At 39.0% G+C, this 24,620-nt stretch overlaps 1 protein-coding gene across 8 annotated transcripts in view, besides 1 other annotated feature; it reads left to right on the top strand.

The window, feature by feature from the left end:
- The window catches only part of BTBD9 (BTB domain containing 9), a 471,479-nt gene that overhangs the window by 225,765 nt on the left and 221,094 nt on the right, over positions 1-24,620 (top strand). The window contains exon 6 of one of the 8 annotated variants that reach the window (NM_001172418.2): positions 11,262-11,348. The exons of the other annotated variants lie outside the window; for them this stretch is intronic. Within the exon in view, the coding sequence (NP_001165889.1) occupies positions 11,262-11,348 (87 nt within the window). The remainder of the gene's footprint in view (positions 1-11,261; positions 11,349-24,620) is intronic. 8 annotated transcript variants of the gene reach the window in all.
- Positions 21,857-23,251: an enhancer, noted in NCBI's record as "VISTA enhancer hs1366". NCBI's record gives its function as "enhancer in: midbrain (mesencephalon)[6/7]" and the evidence as "EXISTENCE:transgenic organism evidence [ECO:0001131][PMID:17130149]".

Raw genomic sequence — 24,620 nt, 5'->3', positions numbered from 1 at the left:
GCGAATTTTGTCAGTTCAGTCTCTTTTAGTGATAGTCCACAAACATAAAGATAAGGTAATAAATGTAACACCTAAACTTCTGTGAAACTTTTGGGGGTACTCTGGACTATGTTAAATGAGCATATAGCTGCATAATAGCTACAATAACAGCACTTGTCACTTTGTCTGGAAAGTGTATCTAGGTGCCAGGCATTGTGCAGAACACTTTACACATAACAAATCATTCAGTCTTCACGAAAACCCCATCAATAGACACCTTATTACAACCATTTTATGGATTATTATTATTATTCTCATTTTATGGTTGGGAAACTTGAAGGTTACACAGTAGGTCAGTGAGACAGAAGGGCTGAACCAGGCATCAAAGTAATTGGTTTCTAATTAGAATATTGTTTAAAAAAAATAGTAGTTGTGTGACCATGAGCAAGTTCCAGCATAGGATGGGATACACTACTCTTTAAAAAAAGCATGAAGTCCTAGAATGTTTGTACAGGAAAATGACATGTAAAACAGAGATGTACCAGTCACATCACATTCTTAGAAAATGATGTCCCTTTTTGATCTCTGTATTTTGAAAGTGATGAATAACTGGCTGGTCTAGAGAAGAGCAATCTAGATGATTAATTGGTTAAAAAATAAGCCTGCTGAGAAAAGATGTAAAACAGGCCTTGCAAACTAGAGGTCTAAACAGTGGCATTTTTGTTTGGCCTATACAGTGTAAGGAAATAAAAATTGGATGCCAGCTCTTAAAAATTGGGAAATTTCTCTTAAAAATATCCAAATCACCAGCTGCTCTTGAAAAATAGGAAACTTTTTCAACATCAGATCCACAGCCCCCGCTGCCTCACTGCAGTGAGTATAAGCATATGTTCTCCAGTCTGTCCTCATCCAGCTCGCATGCCACCCACGTGGACATTTCAGTTTGTCTTTCCTAGTTTAAGCCACGTTACTGAAGAGGAGTCTAAGTTTGGGAAAGAATACTTTTTAAAAGAGGGATGTTATTGTCCTCCCTAAGGGCATAGTTAAGAAAAAAGAAGGAAGGAAGGAAAGAAGGAAAGGATGGAGATGGAAGGACTAAGCTTAATTTGAATCAAAAGAAGAGTTTGGTAGGAAGAAATGATTTCCTAAGGGTTAGGCGGTTGGTAGCAGGGCCACACATTGAACAGTTCCGTTAAGTACCACTTTATATAGTCCATGTGCAACTACTCATCATATACAACTATACACAGTGGGCTAGACTGGGAATTTCTAAGGCAGTTTACAAAATTTCCGACTGTTTTGTTGTTGTTGTTGTTGTTGTTGTTTTGAGATGGAGTCTCGCTTTGTCACCCAGGCTGGAGTGCAGTGGTCTGATCTCGGCTCACTGCAACCTCCACCTCCTGGGTTCAGGTGATTCTCCAGCCTCAGCCTCCTGAATAGCTTGGATTATAGGCACACGCCATCACATCCGGCTAATTTTTGTATTTTTAGTAGAGTTAGGGTTTTACCCTGTTCACCAGGCTGGTCTCAAACTCCTGACCTCGTTTGATCTGCCTACCTTAGCCTCCCAAAGTGCTGGTATTACAGGTGTGAGCCACCGCACCTGGTCAGACTTTTTTTTTTTTTTTAATGTAGTCCAAATGGCTGCTGGCTCCTTTGTACACTGTTACATAGTCGTAAGACTTCAGCTGCTCCCTCAAATGTCCCCAGTTCCTACCCACAGTGTATGAGAGGGCCTGTTTCCCTACACTCTTAACAACAGAGTATGTTTTTCAAACTTTGAGAGATCTAGTTGGTGAGAGCTTTTCATTTCTGTTATCGAGAAGGAAGTTGAGCATATGTTCGTGTGTTTTGGGGATGCTTGCCGATCTTTTCTGTGAACTCCGCTTGGTTCTGTCTTCCAGTTTTCAACACAGGCTTCAGTTCTTTATTTTAGGAATTCTTTATATATTAGGAATATTAATCTCTCTGTGATAGAAGTCGCAGATATTTTTTCTCAGTTTTTTGTTTGTACTTTTGTGTTGCTTTTTTTTGTTTTTAGTATGTAGAATTTTGTTTTTTATGTAGTCAGATTGATCAGTCTTTTTCCTTTTTGCATCTGGATGATGAGTCACATAGGAAATGTTTCTCTACTTTCAGAATATAGAGGAATTGACCCATTTTAAAATTATTTTATTTTATATATATGTGTGTGTACATATATATGTATGTGTGTGTGTATATGTGTGTGTATGTGTGTACACATATATATATATAGGCAGAGGCAGAGTCTTGCCCTGTTGCCCAAATGACACAATCTTGGCTCATTGTAACCTCTGCCTCCTGGGTTCTATCGATCTTCCCACTTCAGCCTCCTGAGTGGCTTGGATTACAGGTGCACGCCACCGTGTCTGGCTGACTTTTAATGTTTTTTATAGAGACGGGGTATTGCCATGTTGCCCAGGCTGGTCTCAAACTCCTCAGCTCAAGTAATCTGCCCGCCTTGGCCTCCGAAAGTGCTGGGATTACTGGTGTGAGTCACTACACCTGGCATTTTTTTTATGCTTAATATTTTTTCATTTTTTATATTTAAGTCTTTGATTCATTTGGAATTTATCCTCATGTACAGTATGAAGATGGATCTGATTTTTTGTTTGTTTGCTTTGGAACTAAAGCACATTGAGAAAGAATGTATCCGATTTTATCTTTTTCCGTATGGCCATCTGGTTAACCCAACAATACTTATTAAAAAGCCCATCCCTGATTTGCGTTGTTGCCTCTGTTAAATAATAAACATACAATTTCAAATGTAGTTTGGCTCTATATCTTGGGTTTTCTACTCCACACCACTGAGCAGTCGATTCATGTGCCAATACTACATTATTTTATTTATAGAGGCTTTATAACATGTTTTAATATCTGCTCTTCTTTTTCAGGGTTTTCTTGGCTATTCTTGCATGATTGCTCTTCTAAATTAGCCTTATAATCAACTTATCTAATTTTGATGGGGAATGGGTTATGGTATTCTTACTGAGATGTTATTAATTAGAATTAGAGAGTAGTGGCATCCTCTGATCTTGTCTTCCTCTCCAAGAACACGGCGTGCAAGTCTACTTTCATGCCATGTTCTTTTTTATGCATGTTGCCCCTCAGTTTGGGCCAGGTTGAGTATGGAGAGTTGGTAAGGATATTCAAGTAGAACTACCTGGTCAGCAATCAGAATGTGGGACAGGAGGTCACAAGAGAGAGAGGTTGGACTGGAGATACATGCAGGGAACCACTTGCATGAATAATATGTGAATTCATGACATGATATTTTCTTGTTTTTTTAAATTATTTTTTATAGAGACAGGGTCTCACTATGTTACCCAGGCTGGTCTTGAACTCCCAGGCTCAAGTGATCCTCCCACCTCAGCCTCCCAAAGTGTTGGGATTATAGGTGTGAGCCACTGTACCCGGCCCTCGTGACATGACATTGCACACTGTTGCATTGTTAAGTTAGTCATTCAGTATCATTCTCTAAGGAACTTCCTCACTGAAGATGTTTAATTCATAGGTGTTACATGACCAGGTAATATTTTCATGTTTTCTTATCAATGAAAGTTATTTTAGAGCTGTTCATTTAAAAAATCTTCCATAGCACAGTTCTTCAGTTTCATGGAATAAAAAATGCTAAGTTTTTGAGATTATTCCATTAACATTATTTTTTATTCTTTTTTTTGTTTGTTTGTTTTGAGATAAGGTCTCACTTGGTTACCCAAGCTTGAGTGCAGTAGTGTGGTCACGGCTCACTGCAGCCCCAGCCTCCTGGGCTCAAGTGATCCTCCCCTCAGCCTCCCAGGTAGCTGAGACTACAGGTGCATGCTACCATGCCTGGCTAATTTTTAAACTTTTTGTAGATGTGGGGGTCTCACACAGTTGCCCAGGGTGGTCTCAAGTGATTACTAGACTCAAGTGATCCTCCCGCCTCAGCCTCCCAAAGTGCTGGGATTATAGGTGTGAGCCACCATGCCTGGACAACTAGATTTTTGTTTCTAATTCTAAGATATAAGAGATAGATGTTTTGGATTTTATCAACTATGTAAACATATTCAAATAAAAACTCTTGATATTCTTTAAGTCATTAATTTCTTTGAGCAAGTGGAATGATTTCTTTTTTTAAAATAAAAACTCATTGATGTGTTAGAGCCCAGAAAATATAACGGTTTAGCTCTAGAAAATGATTACAGAATTGGGTTCATGCTAGGGAGATAACTGACTGGATAAATTAGTTCGAATTATGCCTTGTTTTTGGTTTTATACTCAGGAAATCACACACTTGTACAACCACCCATAAGCTCACATATTTTATTTATTTTATTATTATTTATTTATTTATTTTTTGATACAGAGTCTTGCTCTGTTGCCCAGGCTGGAGTGCAGTGGCATGATCTCGGCTCACTGCAACCTTTACCTCCTGGGTTCAAGAGATTCTCCTGCCTTAGCCTCCCAAGTAGCTGGAACTACAGGCACGGACCACCATACTTGGCTAATTTTTTTTATTTTTAGTAGAGACAGGGTTTCACTGTGTTAGCCAGGATGGTCTCAATCTCCTGACCTGGTGATCTGCCCACCTCGGCCTCCCAAAGTGCTGGAATTACAGGCGTGAGCCACCATGCTCAGCCAGATCACATATTTTAGAGATAGCCTTTTCAAGAAATTCTTAATCAGTAAACAGGAGTTTATGAACATCTGTTTTCCTGAATTTTAGAAATATAGATTAAAAATAAGTATTTAAAAAACAACTACAGGGTACTCTATCTTACATCTTTTCTCCCATTTCAAAACTAATGAACACTTATTAAGCCCTTATAGAATATCTCAGAAAAGTATGCTGATTAAGCTTGCTTAAGGAATTAAGTTAATTCACATTATGTTGTAGGCCACCAATTATTTGTCTTGGGTTTTGTTTTGTTTTGAGATGGAGTCTGTCTCTGTCACCCAGGCTGGAGTGCAGTGATGTGATGTCAGCTCACTGCAACCTCCACCTCCCTAGTTCAAGCGATTCTCCTGCCTCCGCCTCCCAAGTACCTGGGATCACAGGCACCTGCCATCATGCCTGGCTAGTTTTTGTATTTTTAGTGAAGACAGGGTTTCACCATGTTGGCCTGGCTGGGCTCGAACTCCTGGCCTCAAGTGATCCACCTGCCTCGGCCTCCCAAAGTGCTGGGATGACAGGCATGAGTCACTGCGCCTGTCCACCAATTATTTCTCTTTGGTCTTTTTCTATAGCACTGGTACCTGAAGTAGTACCTAAGCATTAGAATTTCGTATCATTTTCCTTTGGATACTTCCTTTGGGCTCTGTGTTTCCTGAGAATGGACTGAGTGAGGGAGGGATGGTAGAAATGCTACTGCTTTTAGCCTTAGTTTTTCGGACAAAGAGGGGTAAAGACAAAATTAATTTGGAAGCCTGTTGTTGGTAAGACTTAGGAAATAATAAAAGATGTTCCCTCTTTGCATATATTCTTTTTTTGTTGATTCTACACAGCAACTGTTTACTTTGGAGTATTTATAGTTTGTATGTTCAGTGGTTTTTCAGGGATTTTTCTTGTTAAGCCAACATGCAAATATAGTGACCTTAACAACTATATCTCATGATGTAAGGCTAAGGTGTCAATGTGGCAGTCTTGGAATTATTTCAACCCGAGCAAAGGAAAAACAAACATTGGTGGGTTCATCCCCTATCCAGATCACAAAGCTTTGGATTCTTTTTGGATTCTCTTCAATGTATTTAACCTTTAAGCATTAGAATAGTAGGCAAAGGAAGTAAGAGAATATGAGAACTGTTTTTTTGGTTTTGTTTTGTTTTGTTTAGAGACAGGGTCTTGCTCTGTTGCTGGAGTGCAGTGTCACGATTATAGCTCACTGCAGACTTGAACTCCTGGGCTCAAGTGATCCCCCTGCCTCAGCCTCCCAAGAAACTGGGACTGCAGGTGCATGTCACTACACCTAACTAATTTTTCTATTTTCTTTTGAGATGGGGGTCTCACTGTGTTGCCCAGGCTGGTCTCGAACTCCTGGCCTCATGTGATCCTCTTGCCTCGGCCTCTCAAAGTGCTGAGATTACAGGCATGAGCCACCACGCTTTGCCAGTGCCATGATTTTAAATCGTGTCCTTCAAGTGTTAGTAAGTAAAGTGGCCTAATTTTAGGTTATGTATCAGCTGTTTCATTGGGATTCCTTTTTTAGGAAAAATAAATTATCTCCAAAAAGAAAGCAAAAACAGCTTTCCTTTGATCTGATTATACATCAGAGTTGTTCCATTGAGGACCTTGAATGCAGGGATTCTTGAATTTATCTGGATGGAAAGGCAAGCATGATGGATTTTGTTAGTCTTCTAATTGAATCCAGTTTTGATAATTATTTCCATTGCTACTTCAGGATTTACAATTGATCATCTTTATAGTCATGAACATAGGAAAACATTGTGAAAATACCCATGGAAAATGAAATAGTTTTTGGTTTTTGTTGAAAGCAGTCACTTAGCTGATTTTGTCCTGCATATTTCCCCACATTTAACTTTACCCAACTTAGCTCCCTTTTTCCAAGTTAGAACTGAAGTCTAGCACATTGGGAAAATGACTTTTATTAAATGCATGACTAGAATTCTTCAAAACCCCAGCTAGACTCTGCAAGGGGCTGCTGCAGGTTGCACACAGGAAGAACTGTGGCTGGTCTGCTTCTCGTCCTGATCCGGGCATAGCCAGGCTGGTACACAGGCATACTGGATAAGTAATTGGTCTTAAATATAACATTGCAAAGAACTAGAACTCAAAAGTGATTCCCTACTGAAAGAACTTCCTCTTTTATTGCTCTGAAATGATCTTTCAATTTGGCCTCATTCTGAAAGTTGCCATTTGAATTGGACTGGGAACAAAAGTTAGAATTTATTGAAAACAACTCATTGCTTAATCTCTGGCAATTTTATTTTATATGTGATCAACAGATGTGTTGCAAGTCGGATTCAAAAGGAAAATAAAAGTTTAAACAGTTAAGATGTCATCAAATACTTTTCCAAACCTGTAGGAAAATAAAATTAAAATCTATTTGAGAAATACTCAGGTGCAACATACATTTTTATTCTGCTTTCTTCTTGTTCACTCCCATTTCTGCCTCCCATTCTCCTTACAAAAGACAGCCAGGTAGTGGAAACAGAACAAGGAATTTGAACTCTGACTTCACTTCCAGACCTGGTTCTGCTACTTACCATGTGAATCCTGCTCAGACTGGTCATTGAGCTTCCTTGAGCATGGTGATAATCATAGCCAGGCATAGTGGCACTCGCTTATAGTCCCAGCTACTCAGGAGGCTGAGGCAGGAGGATTGCTAGAGCCCAGGAGTTTGAGGCGGCAGTGCACTGTGGTCGTGTCTGTGAATAGGCACTGCACTCCAGCCTGGGCAGCAAAGTGTGATCCCCATTAAAATATCATAATAAGAAAGTACTTTGTCCTACCTTCCTCACCAAGGTGATTATTGATTTCAGATGACACGATACCTGTAGAAATTTAGTTTCCCCAATGTGATTCTTCTTATTAAGATTGCATATCCAGGACTAGTCTTTTAATCTTCTAACATTGTTTTTGAGAGTAAGAGTATCAGAAAATTATTTTTCCAATTCTTCTAGTACTACCACTGGGAATTGGGAATGCCAACTCCTTACTGTAAATGAAAATGTATTCCCTAATCTAAGAGGTCTTTTCCAAGTACCAATTCTGACAAGAAATTTAATGGAATGGTAATGTATGTATATTCCTCTACAGTGTGATGTGGGGCTTGCTTCAACTTGCTGATAGTCAGTAGAATTTGGAGATTAAAAAAACACACACACAATCAATTCTCGGGCTTTAGATCAAAATCTCAACAGCACTTAGAGCTTGGCAAAGAATTTTGCCTTTGGCCTATGCTGATGCTCCTTATGGTTACTCTTTTCTGGGACTCTAAAATGTTAGATTTGTGTAGGAGCCAAAGATTTATAAGAAGGTGCTAGGTCCCTGTCCTACAGAGTTGTGAAGAATTTCTTTCCTTATCTTCCCTTGCCTTTTACCTAAAGACCTATGAATGTGTGTTGGATCTAAGCTCAGGTTTTGGGTTGAGAGGCCTAAAGTTGAGCCCACTTGAATAGTAGCTTACCAATACATGTCTCTGCTGACGTCATAGCTCATTAACATCCTGTCCACTGTTGTTGATTTCTGAAGCACCCACATTTCACTGCCCCTCCCCCAGCATCTTCACAAAGCTTTTATTCCCCCAAAGACATTTTCAAAATTTCATTTGTAACTGTTGTGCACAGCTGACATGGAGAATTATTCTAGGTGCTGAATTGTTTATCACTAGAATATTTAGACCAACACTAGAAGATCTGCGATCAGTATGGAAACTCAAATAGGCTTTATGGCTGCTTTCCTGAGTCCATTGACTTCTATTTATTTGGGAATATTTAGTATTAAAAAGTTATAGAACAAATATGGATAAAATAATTTGAAGGTTTTGCCATCACAAAACCTTATATCATTTGCACTGAGAATGTAACACTAGCTGGGTGTTATTGTTTGTTTTTTTTTTTAACAACAGAACCAATAAAATGATTAATATGTGTTTTTGCAGGAGCTTATTTCTCATTATAGCTTCAGTATTGGAGGAGAGATTAAATTTCTGAATATGAATCTGATTTTTCAGACTTCCAACTTCCTATAAGTTTTTATGTGCTGATGCAGAGTTGCTGCTTTCAGGTCATAGCAATTTAGCTTTTCTAGAAGCTATTCTTTTTCTAAGTGACTGGCAGGAATCATTACTCTCTATGGCAAGAAACCAGAAGTTGGCAGGAGCCCTACAATGACTGTCCAATTTTTTTTTTAACTGTTTTGCCAGTTTCCAGATTTTCTTCCCTTGTCTTATAGGGTATCAGGTTCAAAGCGAGTGATACACATGTAGTCACAGACCTGCCCAGGCCAGGTATGAGGGATCAGGCCCTTCCTCAGATAGATTGTCTATTTAGCATTCTGGATAGAAGCCAGAGATCATGGTACATTCCTAGAATTGCACAACTCAAAGCTACAACCATCAGGCAAGTTTTGTATTTGTTCCTGAAACTCTTACATTGTTACTTTGATTTCTTCTGATTGTTTAGAGGTATGAATCAGACAAGATCGTTTCATAACGATTGACAATAAGCACTGAAAGCCTCAGTGATGACAGTAATATTTCCTACCTCAGCCTCTTCCCAGTATGAATTTTACAACACTGAAAAGGGCTAGGGCTCTAACCTGAAGAGATTTCTGAATTTGTCTCTTTTCTGACAGAATTAATTGAAGTAGAAAGTATTTCAAGTGCGGGCCACTCTGGAACTGAGCTCTACCTTTTTACCTGGAGTGAAACCATCCTAATTTTATCCTCTGCTGGCCAGGGTCAATTTGATAATAACAAGCCCAGAATGAAACACATCAGTTTATCCCTTATCTGCAGTAACAACTAGAAATGCTTTTGCTTGTTTGAACTTTGCCCTCCCTAGAATCTTGATATTTGTTTTGAATTTGGTTTTTGGCAGAATGAGATCCCATGCATGCCAGGCAGGCTCAGGGATGAAGAGTTAGTAGTTTGGGGTTTTGTTTTTTTTTATTGACTTGCTCTGGGCGGAAGCTTTCACTTTTCAAATGTGTGATTCTTCTATTGTCCTAGCTGTGCTGTCGGTAATGAATGCATCCTCTGTTTTGGAACTGTGCCAGATAAGATGCAAATTTGTCTATTCTACTTCTGTATCAAGTAAGGTTACCTAACTGGGTCTACTACTGTTTGAAGATATTAAAGACTCACAAAATCATGCTATGGTAAATGAAGAGTACTTGTTCTCTAAGTCTGCTGAGGAAAGAAAATGGGCTAGTGTGCTAAAGGAATGGATTTATATTAGCGGCTTATTTTGGAATTTTAAAAATTGAGATATAGTTAATATGCCATAAATTCACCATTTTAAGGTGTACAATTAAGTGGTCTTTAGTGTATTCAGAAGGTTGTGCATCCATCACCACTAACATTTTTTATCACCCTAAAAAGAAACTCAGTATCCATAAGCAGTCACTTCCCAATCCCTTCTCTCCCCATCCCCTGGCCACCACTAATCTGCTTTATGTCTTTATGGATTTGTGTATTCTGGACATTTCATGTAAATGGAATCATACAATATGTGGCCTTTTGTGTCTGGCTTCTTTTACTTCATATAATTCTCTCAAGGTTCATCTGTGTTATAGCATATATCAGTACTTCATTTCTATTTATGGCTGAATAATGTTCCATTGTATGAATATACAGTATTTTACTTATCCATTCATCAGTTGATGGATATTTGGGCCATTTTAGTCTTTTGGCTGCTGTGAATAATGCTGCTATACACATTTATGTACATGTTCTTGTATGGACATATGTTTTCAGATCCCTTGAGTATATAACTAGGAGTAGAATTGCTGGGTCATATGGAAATTCTGTCTTTAACTTTTTGACGATCTGCCAGACTGTTTTCCATAGAAACTGTACCATTTTACATTCCGGCTAGTAGTATGAAATGGTTCTAATTTCTCAACATTCTCATCAACACTCATTGTCATTATCAGACATTTTTGATTATAGCCATCCTTGTGGGTATATCAGTTGTGGTTTTCATTTGCATTTACCTGATGGCTAATAACATTGAGTGTCTTTTCATATGCTTATTGGGGATTTACAGGGTTTTATTTGGAAAACGTCTTATCCAGATTCTTTATGCCTTTTTAAATTGAGTTGGTTTTTGTTTATATGCCCATTGTTTAATTGGATTTTTTAAAATTGTTGAGTTTTAAGATATACATATGTATATAATTACCAGAACCCTATCAGATATATGATTTAATTTTGTGGGGAAATATTGTCTCTCCTTTTGTGGGTTGTCTTTTTGCTTTCTTGATAATGTCCTTTGAAGCACAAAAGTTTTAAATTTTGATGAAGTCCAATTTATTTTTTCTTTGGTTGCTTGTGATTTAGGTTTTCCTTTCCTTTTCTTCTCTTCTCTTCTTTTCTTTTTTCTTTCCTTCTTCTCCCCTCCCTTCCCCTCCCCTTCCCTCCCCTCTCCTCTCTTTGGACAGGGTTTCACTCTATCACCCAGGCTGGAGTGCAATGATAGCTCACTGCAGCCTCTGTGTCCCAGGCTTAAGCAATTCTCCCACCTTAACCAGCTGAGTAGCTGGGATGACAGGTGCACACCACCAAAGTCCAGCTAATTTTTTTTTCTAATTTTAGTGGAGATGGAGTCTCACTATGGTGCCCACTCTGGTCTCGAACTCCTGAGCTCAAGCAATCCTCCCTCCTTGGCCTTCCAAAGTGCAGGTATTATAGGCATGAGCCACCAAGTCTTGCTGATTTAGGTTTCATTGCTAAGAAATTGTTGCCTAATCTAAGGTTATGATAACATACACCTCTATTTTCTTCTAAAAGTATTATAGTTTTGACTCTTATGTTTAGGTCTTTGATCCATTTTTAGTTACTTTTTATATACAGTGTGAGGCAAGAGTCTAAATTCATTCTTTTGTATTGGACATCCAGTTGTCCCAGGCACATTTTCCCCTTTGAATTGTCTTGGCAGCCTTGTCAAAAATCAGTTGGCCATAGATGTATGGGTTTATTTCTGTGCTCTCAATTTTATTCTGTTGGTTTATATGTCTACCCTTATGCCAGTGTTACACTATCTTGATTACTGTGGTCTGTCATAAGTTTTAAAATCAGGAAATGTGATTCTTCTAACTCTTTTGGGGATGGGGGATTGTTTTGGCTATTCTGGGTTCTTTCCATATGAATTTTAGGATCAGGTTGTCAATTTCTACAAATAAGTGTGTTGGGATTTTGAAAAGGATTGCATTGAATCTATGGATCGCTTTGAGAAGTATCGTCACCTTAACATATTAAATCTTTTAATCCATGAACACAGAATGTCTTTCCATTTATTTAGGACTTTTAAAATTTCTTTCAACAATACTTTATAGTTTTCAATGTACTAGTCTTGCATATTTGCTAAATATATTTTAAATATTTTATTCTTTTTGATGCTATTGTAAATGAAATTGTTTTCTTAATTTTATTTTCATTTTTTCATTGTTCATTTATAGAAATACAATTGATTTTGTGTATTGATTATATTAGCAATTTTAAAGAACATCTTCTGGTTATAATTTCAAATATATTGGAACCAATATAGAAAGCCACTTGTAGTCTTCCTTAGGATTCTTTTAAAGAGTAGAGTATGTATAGTTAACATTTGTTGAACACTTACTAGGTGTCAGGCATTAAGCTGCTATGTATGTTACAATGAATTATTCTCATTTAATGCTAACTTTTGTCTTCATTTTACAATGAAGAATCCTTGTCCATAGTCCTACGATAAATCAGTGGCAGAGCTGGAACTTGAACCCAGGTCACTCACTCCAAAGCCTGTTTTCTTAACCATTTGACTATACATACTGCCTTTTTGTGAATAATTCATAATAGCTCTATCCTGGAACCTAGACAATAGATTAAGCAACATGGAAATATTCTCCAGGTCTCTACTTCTTGTCTCTTTACCAGGGTTGATCATTTCACTTTTATACAACAATGATTCTGTTCCTCCTTTGGGAAATTTTAATTTCAAAGGATCCTTCAGCAAGACTGTTTGAGCCATTATAGAGCCTGGAGGCAAACATAGTAAACAAAAGGTGTATACATACTGTATTAGTCCATTTTCACACTGATATAAAGATACTACCTGAGACTGGATAATTTATAAAGGAAAGAGGTTTAACATTGACTCACAGTTCTGCATGGCTGGGGAGGCCTCAGGAAACTTACAATTATGGCAGAAGGCAAAGAGGAAGCAAGGCACATTTTACATGGTGGCAGGAGAGAGAAGAAGAGGAAGAGCAAGGAAGTGCCACACTTAAACCATCATCTCTCGTGAGAACTCCCTCACTATCATGAGAACAGCATGGGGAAACAGTCCCCATGACCCAGTCACCTCCCACCAGGTCCCTCCCTTGACATGTGGGGATTACAATTCGAGATGAGATTTGGGTGAGGACACAGAGCCAGACCATATCAAATACCAATTGTGATACATATTATGGAAGGAAAGAACAGGGTGCTATGACAGAGAGTAATATGATGTCCTAATCTGGAAAGAAGGTCAGGGAAGGAAAAGACTCTTGAGCCATGACCTGGCCTGAAGTAATTAGCCTGGTTTAAAGTGGGGGAAGGAGCACTGTAGCAGAAGGAATAGGAGATGTTTATCTCATAGGATTATGATGAAACTTAAATAAATAGTACACATGAGAATTCCTAACCTAGACCAGGCACAAAATAAATTCTTTTAAAAAATTATTTTAAAGTTGTTACAGTGAGCATGAATACTTTTGTAATCAGAAAGCCAAATAAACGTTTAAAAGTAGTTGATGCTCTGAGAGAGACTAAACTACCTTGGATTGTGTATTTGCTGAGACAAGAGGGAATCTGGGCTGGTATCCTAGGGAGTGATGATTGGAGTGAATGAAAAAGGATAAGGGTGCAAAAGAACCTGAGAAGGATTGGTCAGAGAGGCATTAGAAGAACCTAGGGAAGATGTTACAAAAGGCGGAGGAAAGAAGGCTTTTGGGGAGAAAGGGTGGTTAATCATGCTAGATACCTGTAAGGCTGTCAAATGGGGTAAAGACTGAAAAGAGGCCATGGGGTTTGGCCCTTAGAGGACATTGAGTGATTTTTCAGATTAGTTTCAGTAGAGCAAAGGAGAAAGGAATAGATTGAGACACTAAGCCTATGAGAAAGTGGAACGTGGGTATATAAACTATGGGCTCTAGAAGTTTGATAAGAAAGGGGAGATAAGAGGGGCTGATTACTTAAAACAGGTGTGTTGCTTAAGGATCTGGGCTGAGAGGAAGTGGCTAGCAGCGAGAGAGCAATTAAAGATACTACAGAGAAGAAATAGCTGATGGGACAGGTAGAAGAAGGAACTGGTGAAGGAAACAGGACCCGATGGGGTCAGGAACACAGGTACAGAGGTATGCCTTGGAAAGGAAGAGTGACAGGAAAGCCAAAAATAGTGAAAAGATCAGAACAAGGCCAGGCACAGTGGCTCACACCTGTAATCCCAGCACTTTGGGAGGCCGAGGCGGGCGGATCACCTGAGGTCAGGAGTTCAAGACCAGCATGACCAACATAGAGAAACCCCGTCTCTACTAAAAATACAAAAAAAAAAAAAAATTAGCTGGGCATGGTGGCACATGCCCATAATCCCAGCTACTCTGCAGGCTGAGGCTGGAGAATCGCTTGAACCCGGGAGGCGGAGGTTGTGGTGAGCTGAGACTGCGCCGTTGCACTCCAGCCTGGGCAACAAGAGTGAAATTCTGTCTCAAGAAAAAAATAAAAACCACAAAGAAAGAAAGAAAAGATCAGAACATAGTCAGATGGCTACTCCTAGCTGCAAAGGACTTTGGGAAATACAGCCTTTATTCTAGGCAGCTATGGGTTCAGCTTAAAAAAAAATCTAGGTTGTTTTACTTAGGAAAAAGAGAATAGATGGATTCTTGGATAGGCAACTCACAGTCTCTGCCATAGATTACCAAACGCATCTGGGGTGGTTGGTGAACCTATATAGGGAATTTAAATTATTTATTAGTTACTGGTAACCTCATTTTAATGACATTTTATTGACTCATTTTATTGACACAAAGTTTAAGTAAGCTTCTGCAATTCATACAATGAGTAGAAAACATAGCAGAAACAAGTCTTTATGCTCCCAAGTCCAGCGTTCTTTCACTTGCACTGTTGCCTTTCATGTGATTATATGTGTGTAGTATTTGTAGTTAATCTAGTAGACAATTTTAAGATTTAGAGATTTACTTCCAGATATCCTAAATATTCTAAATCTAGGTAGTATTGGGTGCATTATATTAAAGTCTAGAAAGATTAAGAAATCAGTGGGATTTAGATGTAGTCCATTGAAAAGCTTTTTATAATGGATTTAATTTAGTTTTTGTTCAGAAACCCATTTGGCTGTTGAGACACAGTCATTTCTCAGTGTTTTTACAAAGTGTTTGCAAATTTTTCTCACCATAGGACCTGCTATTATATCATAAGGACTGTGAACACTGGTGAAAGCTATTCCTGAACACCATTTATTTTAAAAACAAACCTTTTCCTACTAAAAACAAATGTTTCTCTCTCTTAGTGTTATGAAACATTTCATCTTAGAAAACCCATGATGGAATGAAAGTAGTGTGATGGCAAAAGGCTCTGAACTGAGGGCAGGGAGTGTATATCTCCACAAGTCACTTCTTCTGGCCACAAATTAAATTAAATTAAATAATTATATGTTTAAATGGGTATAAGAATAAATTAGGAAAAAATGGTAAGTGCTTTGATGAAGTAAAGTTGAAATAAACAGATAATGTTAAACTCTATTTCAGCCATTAGCTAATTTTCTTCTCCTTTGTTGTCATAGCTAACTTCTTTGGGGGTTTCCTTCTTTTCTGGACCTGTGTGCCTATGAAGGGAGGGTGAGTGGGCAATGAAATCATTAATAGCCAGTGAGCAGGTAGACAGAGGATGGCGAAAGGGCCTGGATGAGGCCACTGCAGAATAATCAGGCTGTGACTTGTATTGTTTCTTTTTAGTTTGGATGGTTCAATGACAGCCCTCAAGAGGGTATTTACTTCCTCCTTCCCATGTATTTTGTCTGAATATGTGACATTGATTCCTTGGTATGGCCTTATATTCCTAACATTCAGGCTTGCCATGCACACAGTTATCTGAGTGTGAATGAGGGGAGGATTGGGACAGAGAAGAAAGAGAGACTTGTGAACCTGGCACAAGTACAATTTTATATTTCTCTCACTGATCTTTTAACCATAGACTGTTTAGGTTTAAAGGCCTAGAGAAGTCATTTAATATAGTGTTTTTAAAATTGTGCTTCATAGAACCCAGTGATATGTCAGAACCAAGTAGGTGGGGCTCCTTGTAGTTAGGAACATGTATCTTGATGAAAGTTGTAAAAATCGAACGAAGTCATGTCACTCCTCTACTAAAACTTCTCAGGGCTCCTCTTCACCTATGGCATAAAGTCCAAGATCCACAGCTTAAAATGCAGAGCCTTTCATGATCTGCCCACTCTGTGCCCATGCAGTTTCTCCTGCTCCATTCCTTCTACTCTATTATATATTCCAATAGTACCGCACTCCTGCTCCTTCGGTAAACCTGTCAGGCTATTTATAACTCTCTGCATTTGCACTTGACGTTTCCTCCACAAGAATGCTTTGTTTGTCCAGTATACTTCCTTACTCCCATCTCATTTATCCCCAAACTTAACTAACCCCTCAGCCCTATCTATCACTGTCTTGTGATTCTGCTTTATTTTCTGTATAACACCTATCACAATCTAGAATGATATTCTTAATGTGTTTGTTTGTGTCTTCCACTTTTCTCACTCTGCACACTCTTTCTTAGCAATTTCATGGGCTCACATGGCATCTGTTAATAACACGTCTTCATCTCCTGCCTAGTTCTCTCTCCTGTGCTTGCAAATAGCACGCTGAAGTATGGCCACTGCATAGCTTCACTAGAGTGATGCACAGGCACCTGAAATTCACAACAGAATGCCTCAAGGTAATTAATCCTACCTTCCAACATGTTCTTCTTTTGAAGTTCTCATCTCAATGAGTTGCCCCATCCACAAAGCTGGGCGTCATCTTTCATTCCTCCCCTCTTCCACAGCCAGTCATTTCTATCTGGCAATGGTTTGTCCTTAAATTCTTTTCCAGTCTTCTTTTCTACATCTCCATTGCAATAACTAATTGCCCTTTTCTTGCTTAACTTGTGTACTGTCTTATTCTAGGTCCTCTGGAACAGTGCTGTCCAATAGAAATATTATGTTATTTTAAATTTTCTAGTAGCTACGTTAAAAAAGATAAAAAGAAGCAAGTGAGACGGTGCAGTGGCTCACACCTGTAATCCCAGCACTTTGGGAGGCCAAGGCAGACAAATCACTTGAAGCCAGGAGTTCAAGACCAGCCTGGCCAACATGGCCAAACCCCGTCTCTACTAAAAATACAAAAATTAGCCAGGTGGGGTGGTGCACACCTGTAATCCCTGCTACTTGGGAAGCTGAGGCCTGAGAATCACTTGAACCCAGGAGGCAGAGGTTGCAGTGAGCCGAGATTGCGCCACTACACTCCAGGCTGGACGACAGAGTGAGACCTTGTCTCAAAAAAAAAAAAAAAAAAAAAAGAAAAAGAAAAAAAGAATCAAGTGAAATTAATAATGTATTTTATTTAAACAATATATTCAAAGTATCAATTCAACATGTAATCAACATAAAAAGCGGCGTGTTTAAAATTTTCTTTTAAATACTAGTCTTCAAAATCCAGTGTGTATTTTACACTTACAGCTCATCTTAATTTAGATTAACCACATTTCTACCTCTAAATAGGTAACTGTGGGCAGTGACTACTGCAGTAGGCATTAACAGCTGTAGGATGTAGAGCCTGAAGGAAGAATTAAAGTGCTGACATTTTTTTAGTAACTTCCAGCCCAAAGTGGCAAGGGTAAAGGATAAAGGAAAATCAAGGAGGGAAAAGTATGATATAGCACCTTACCTTGCTGGTCATGGCAAGACACACAGCAGGTTGTTCAGACACGGCTTCGCCCTAATTTTTTGTTTCCCATTGACTTCCTCCAACCGCTTGGCAACTGTTCAGAAAGCAGTATGACATTTTATCCAAGTTCACAGGTAGAAGGGTGACTCAGTATATGTTAAAGAGAAAGTTGGTGGAGGCTGAGGGAATCTTAGAGACATAGTAGGTTCACATTCAGTACACTAACTAAGCTTTTTAGTTTTGGTTTTATCTTTCTTCTGTTCAGTTCCCAAACAAGAACAATGTAGCCAGATATTCTTGCTAAATGTAGCTCTGACTGTCATTTCCCTCTTTTAAAACCTCCAGTGACTTCCATTGTTTTCATGATAAAGGCTAATATCATTTCATTAAAATTTTTACTTGATCTGGCCCTGTCTTTTTAACTTCTTACCTCAGTCACCTTCCTCTCATCTTAAATGCTGTGTGTATTAGTTATATATTGCTGTGTAACAGATCACCCCAAACATAGTGACTTAAAACAAGGCCAGGTGCGGTGGCTCATGCTTATAATCCCAACACTTTGGGAGGCCGAGGCGGGCGAATCACGAGGTCAGGAGATCGAGACCATCCTGGCTAACATGGTGAAACCCCATCTCTACTAAAAATACAAAAAGTTAGCTGGGCTTGATGGCACATGCCTGTAATCCCAGCTACTCGAGAGGCTGAGGCAGGAGAATTGCTTGAACCCGGGAGGCAGAGGTTGCAGTGAGCCGAGATCACACCGCTGCACTCCAGCCTGGGCGACAGACCGAGACTCTGTCTCAAAAAGACAAAAAAAAAAAAACAGTAAACATTTATTATCTCACAGTTTCTAGGGATTAGGAATTTGAGAGTAGTTTAGCTGAGTGGTTCTGGCTTGAGGTCGCTGTCTTATGTTACTAACAAATACTATTAACTGGGTAGCTTATAAACAGCAGAAATTTATTTCTCACAGTTCTGGAGGCTGAGAAGTCCAAGATCAAGGTGCCAACAATTTTGGCATCTGGTGAGGGCCATTTACTCATTTATAGGTGGCGCTTTCTAGCAGTGGCCTCACATGACAGAAGGGACAAAAAAGCTTTCTCTGGCCTTTTTTTCTTTTTTTGAGACAAGCTGGTATGATCATGGCTCATTGCAGCCTTTAACCTCCCAAGTTTAAGCAATCCTCCCACCTCAGCCTCCTGAGTAGCTGGGACTATAGGTGCAAACCAACATGCCCTGTTAATTAAAAAAATTTTTTTTTTGTAGAGGCAGGGTCCCACTATGTTGTTCAGGCTGGTCTCTAACTTTGGGGCTCAAGTAATCCTCCCACCTCAACCTCCCAAAGTATTAGGATTATGGGTGTGAACCACCACACCTGGCTCTCTGGCCTCTTTTATAAGGGAACTAATCTCATTCATGAGGGCTCCTCACTCATGACCTAATCACCTCCCCAAAGCCCCCACCTCCTAATTCTGTCCATTGGGGTTAGAATTTCAACATATGAACTTTGGGGGTGGGAAATAAATATTCAGATCATCACAGTCTCTTTTTTCTTTTTTTTTTCCCCTCTCTTTTTTGGTTATATCATCTGTCAGCTCATACCTACAACACAGTCTCTTATAGGATTAAAGTCAAGATGTCAGCCAAGGCTATAGTCATCTGAAGTTATGAATAGGATTGAGAGATTCATTTTTCAAGGTGGCCCATTTGCATGGTTGGAAAGTTGACACTGGCCGTTGGCAGATTTTCCACATTTTCCTATATAGAGGGCTGCTTGAGTGTCCCTACAGCATGGTGGCTGCCATCCTCCAGAGAAAGTGATCTAAGAGAAAGCAAAGCAGCAGCTGCCATGTTTTTTTTTTTCCCCCCTAGACTTGAAAGTCAGACATTGTCATTTTGGGACTGACCTTTGTAACCAATAGGATATTAGTATGAGAAGGAACGACATAAAGATATGAATAACAGAACACAACCATTGGGTGCCATTTTGGAGGCTGGCTACCACTGTATGATGCATCTGTAAAATTTCTTTTTAGCCCCTCTGGCATGCCCTGACTTGTCTCTGGATATTGCTACATATTGTTCTTTCTTGCCACAAAAAACTTCTCCCTTCTGTTTCTCTTCTCCTTGCTTGTCTTTCTAACTTCTTTTTATCCCTCAAGTTCCAATCCAGATATGTCTTTCTGTGAGAAGCATTCTTTTTACCAGGACAGCCCCCACCCTATCACCACCATCAGCACCAATTGCCTACTTATTCTATGCCATTAGAATGCCCTGTCTTTCTCCTTTCGTAGTACTTACTACATTTTATTATAGTTGCCTGTTTCCTGGCCTGACTTCCCCACTAGACTCTTAAGTTCATGAGGGCAAGGACTACATCCTTCTGGTTTATTGTTATATCCTCAGTACCCAGCATAGTACTTGACAACACATCATAGGTTCTCAGTAAATAGTTGCTGGTTGGAAAAATGAAGGAAGGTATAGATGGGTGAGTGGATGGATGGATGAATGACCAAACATCTTGTCTTTTCTACTAGACTCTGAACTCCTAGAGAACTGTGCCCTCATCTTTTCGTTTTTGTATCCCCAGGATATTACATAGTGCCCAAACAGATAATAGGCCCCTATTAAATATCCCTTTCTCCTTTCTTCTCTTTCTCCCAGTTCTTCTTAATAGAATGAAGATTTTGAGATGCTCCACATCTCCATCTGTCTGTCATAAGTGATAAATCTGATTATGTCAAAAATTCACCTTTTGGTTATTTTTATTGTCAAATATTGCAGACATTCCCCTGTAAGTCAACATTGTAATACAATTTCAGATAATTTGTATTTGTAATGAGAGGGTATAACAGCCCTAGCAGTGTTCATTCAGGCTTTAGCAAGTACCTTGACCATGAAAGGTGTTTTGTGAATGATTGGTGAATAAATTCAACATATTGCTAAGTGCTTTTTATTGAGTAACTGTGTTGTGGCTAGTATAGGAAGTGAGAAGTTTTTCGTAGATTTTTTTTTTTTTATTAGACCAAGGAATTACTTACTGGCATAGAAGTTGAATAAGTTCTTTCTGTTTCTGGATTTGAAATTTAAGAGAAAATTGACCTACTATTGTGGTTTCAGTTGTTTCTATGGCCAGTTCTCTTCTGGCTCTGCTAGCTTTGTGGAAAGGCAGCAAGCAAAAGGGAGACTTGTCGACAATGTTGGCCCTGCCTCCTCCCCTCAGAATATGCAGAACCCAGAGTCAATTTGCAAGAACCTCCAGAATGAAAGCAATAGCCTTAAATATGGCTACATGTTCCTCTTATTCTTTTTATTCCCATTAAAAATCATTGTCTTGGCTGGTCATAGTGGCTCACGCCTGTAATCCCAGCACTTTGGGAGGCTAAGGCGGACGGATCACCTGAGGTGGACGGATCACCTGAGGTTAGGAGTTCAAGACCAGCCTAGCCAACATGGCGAAACCCTGTCTCTACTAAAAAATACAAAAATTAGCTGTGCATGGTGGCACGCGCCTGTAATCCCAGCTACTCAGGAGCCTGAGGCAGGAGAATTGTTTGAACCTGAGAGGTGGAGGTTGCAGTAAGCCAAGATCATGCCACTGCACTCTAGCCTGAGCGATAGAACAAGACTCCATCTCAAAAAAAAAAAAAAAAATCATTGTCTTAAGGATGAGCAAAATAAATAAAATTTTAAAAATCATTGCCTTATGTTATATTTTTCTTTATTTTTGTGCTTTATAAATTAACTCTATATTTTTTGGTGTTTTGTTTTGTTTTCAGTTTCCCTCTTAGAGGTTCATTAAAAGGGCACGGTCTTTGGAATTAATCAGAACTACATTCAGATTCTGACTGCCATTTCTTTCTTGCTACGTGTTGTTGGACAGGTTACTTTATATCTCTGAAACTTTTTCTTTTTAGTATGGCAAATGAGGATAAAATTAGCTCCTTCATAAGACTGTCATCAGGTTCAGTGGGATAGCTTATGTAAACTGCCTAACAAGGTCTTTGGTATAGTAGACGCTTAGTCAAGATTGGGTAGCACCCCCTTTTCTTAGGCTGTATTCCCCAGCTTAAAAAGGAGTTGCTGTGTCTCTGGTCGTGTGATTGTTGCCCCAGGAATGAGGGACTCACTCATTCTAGCAGAGAGGCAGTTCCCTAAGCCATCTGACAAAACTCCTAGTCCATTCTCTTTCTTGGATCATTTCCCAACTAACCAAGGTAACGCAGTCTGTTTTTCCTGTGATTTTTTTTTTCTTTTTTTAAAGCATTCCCTTTTCTTCTTTGACTCCGTTTTTCTCTCTTTCTGTCTGATGATGATTGATATTTTTAACCCTCCTTGCTTCCTCTTGCTGGTCTGTGCCATAGAATCTAGACTCTGGGAGGAGGACTCTCCTCTTGGAAGACTTTGCTCCAGAAACTCAGAGCTGGGATTTGCCATTCTGGACTTTGTTTGGTGTCTTGCCAGAAAGTGGTCTATTGCATGATGTGTCCACATTTTTTCCTCCATGTGATCCAAAGAGACATCTGTCTGGGAAGAATGTGATGGGCCCCACAAATAGACTGCCTGGGGTATCCAAATCTTGAGTTGTGTGGCCTGTTAAAACAGGTCTGTGTCACAAGTGATGAATAGTTCTTGTGGATTTTGAGCAAGTTGCCGATCGATCAGCTACTGTTTAATGAGAGAGAGGCGCTGTAAGAGGAGCAAAAACCCAGCTGCCTGTTCGGGAGCCACCTGCCTTTTCGCTTTACTTCATTTTCTTGCTAATGAAGGAACCAATTGGTTTAGAGTGATCAATGCTGACCTATTAGGATCAGACATTGTTTTGGCATTGCCAAGGCAATTAAATTCAGCAGGGTAAGGATTAGAGAGAGAATGGCTATAAAAAAAAAAAAAAAAGAAAAACAAGCAAGTTTTTATTCAGAAACAACCACTCTGGTGTTTGAGGTATCAAAAAGATTAGTTAAAAGAGAATTAATCATTACAGCATTTTCTTTCTTGGTAAAATAATCAGAAGATTTGTTGACATTAGTTCTTAGATGTAAGAAGATAGGAAGCTCTGCTTCACTGATCTGACTTCAGGTATGACCTTCATTATTGCCTTCTTTCCTATTTAAAGCTGTGACTCATCCAAAAAGCCTTCTCCAAGAGACTGTGTATCATGTAATGGGTACTGTGACCTATATGTGCTAGATTTTCCAGAGCAGCTCTGATTTAAAATAGTGTGGCCCTTCATCATTCTATTAACAGATGATGTGATTAGGAAATTGTTAACCAAATTTGTAACTTAAGACTTGATAAAAAGGATAGTATGTAAAACCTTTGAGAGTAAGGTTCATGAGCTAATCATCTTGGCACACATTCCTCACCCAAATTCTGTTCCCCTCAGCCTGATGCCTTCCACTTAGATATTCAGTAAATATTTGAGTAAACTGACTGAATGAATGAGTAAGACGTGAAGTCTTTAAAAATGGGTAAGATTTGAAGCTTTGATATTCCAGGATTACGGAGACAATAAGTATAAGCATATAAAAGCAGGAATGATAGAGTAAATTAGGGAGACCTAAGGTCTTTTCTAGAGTGGAAGGTATGTACTAAAGCAGGAGTTCCCAGACTTTTGGATTTCACAGACCAGTGCAATTTCCAAAAGGAATTTTGCTAAGTAAAGATGTTGACTGTCACTGTTGTTCTATAACACCAAAATGTAGAGTGGATATAATTTTTGCAAAAAAGTACAGTTCTTTAAATTGCTTACGATTGTATTAAAGAAGTGACTAAAGCATCACCATCTACCTCTTTGTAATGAGAGTGGAGCCATGTATCAGTTTAAGCAGTGGTGACAATGTAGGTGATACTGTGCATGTTCCTTAGAGTTGTGTAATGTCCTGAATTTGGGGGTATTGTCTAGGCATCCATGTCTGGTTGATCTTTGATTTCCCATGCTTTTTGTCTTGATTTCACCTATTAATGTTCATTTTTGTTGTTCATGAAGATTTCAGTATCTTGAACATTAGCTGTTATTGTTTCTTCAGAATGCTCTCTGGGGTTTATATTGGATAACTGCTCCTGAAATTGCTAGAGAACTTTATGCCAGGGGTCTCACAACTTTTTTGGATCATGTACCCATTAGTAAAAAAATTTACACATGGGCTAGGTGAGGTAGCTCATGCCTATAATCCCAGCACTTTGGGAGGCCAAGGTGGGTGGATCACTTGAGGTCAGGAGTTCGAGACCAGCCTGGCCAACATGGTGAAACCTCATCTCTACTACAAATACAAAAATTAGCTGGACATGGTGGCAGGTGCCTGTGATCCCAGCTACTCAGGGGGCTGAGGAAGTCTCAAAAAAAAGAAAGAAAATCTTTGGAAGTATCTCTACATCCCGAGGAGAATGAAAGCCTTCTGTGTTGTAGCGCAGCACACTCTGAGATATGTGACGGCACCAGCAGAGAGGTATTTTCAGTCACTTCATTGTACCATCAGGAAGAAGTTTGAGTGGCATATGATGACAATCAGTGATAGCCCTATAACCTCGTATTTTATAATTACCACTAGAATATATTCAATATGTATGTGGGACTCTACGGAGAGAGAAAGGAAGAAATTCTATTCCCAGCTGCATAACATAAAGCTGTATTTTTATTAAGAGCTTTGACTGACAATATAAATCATAAATCACCAACATAAAGCTTAAGACACCAGAAGCCAGAGAGAAAATATAACCTGTAAAATGTACAATACTGGTATAGTTTAATATTCACAGTTCCCAGGATTTTAAAGCAATTTCATACCAAATTAAGACAGCTGATTTTTTTATTCAATATTTTCTTTTTTCACGTAAGCTAGTCTTCTTGATCCTTTGTGCCATTTCTGTGTCATGTCAGCTGACAATAATCAATTTGGATATCTATGCATTTGAGTAATTCATTCTTGAAAAAAGGTGGTAAAAAATTACAGCACATTTGTTGTAAAAATATTTGCATACCATG

The sequence above is a fragment of the Homo sapiens genome, chromosome 6 (assembly GCF_000001405.40).
Source record: "Homo sapiens chromosome 6, GRCh38.p14 Primary Assembly".
Classification (NCBI taxonomy): domain Eukaryota; kingdom Metazoa; phylum Chordata; class Mammalia; order Primates; family Hominidae; genus Homo; species Homo sapiens.
This window is presented reverse-complemented; position numbering and strand designations above follow the sequence as displayed.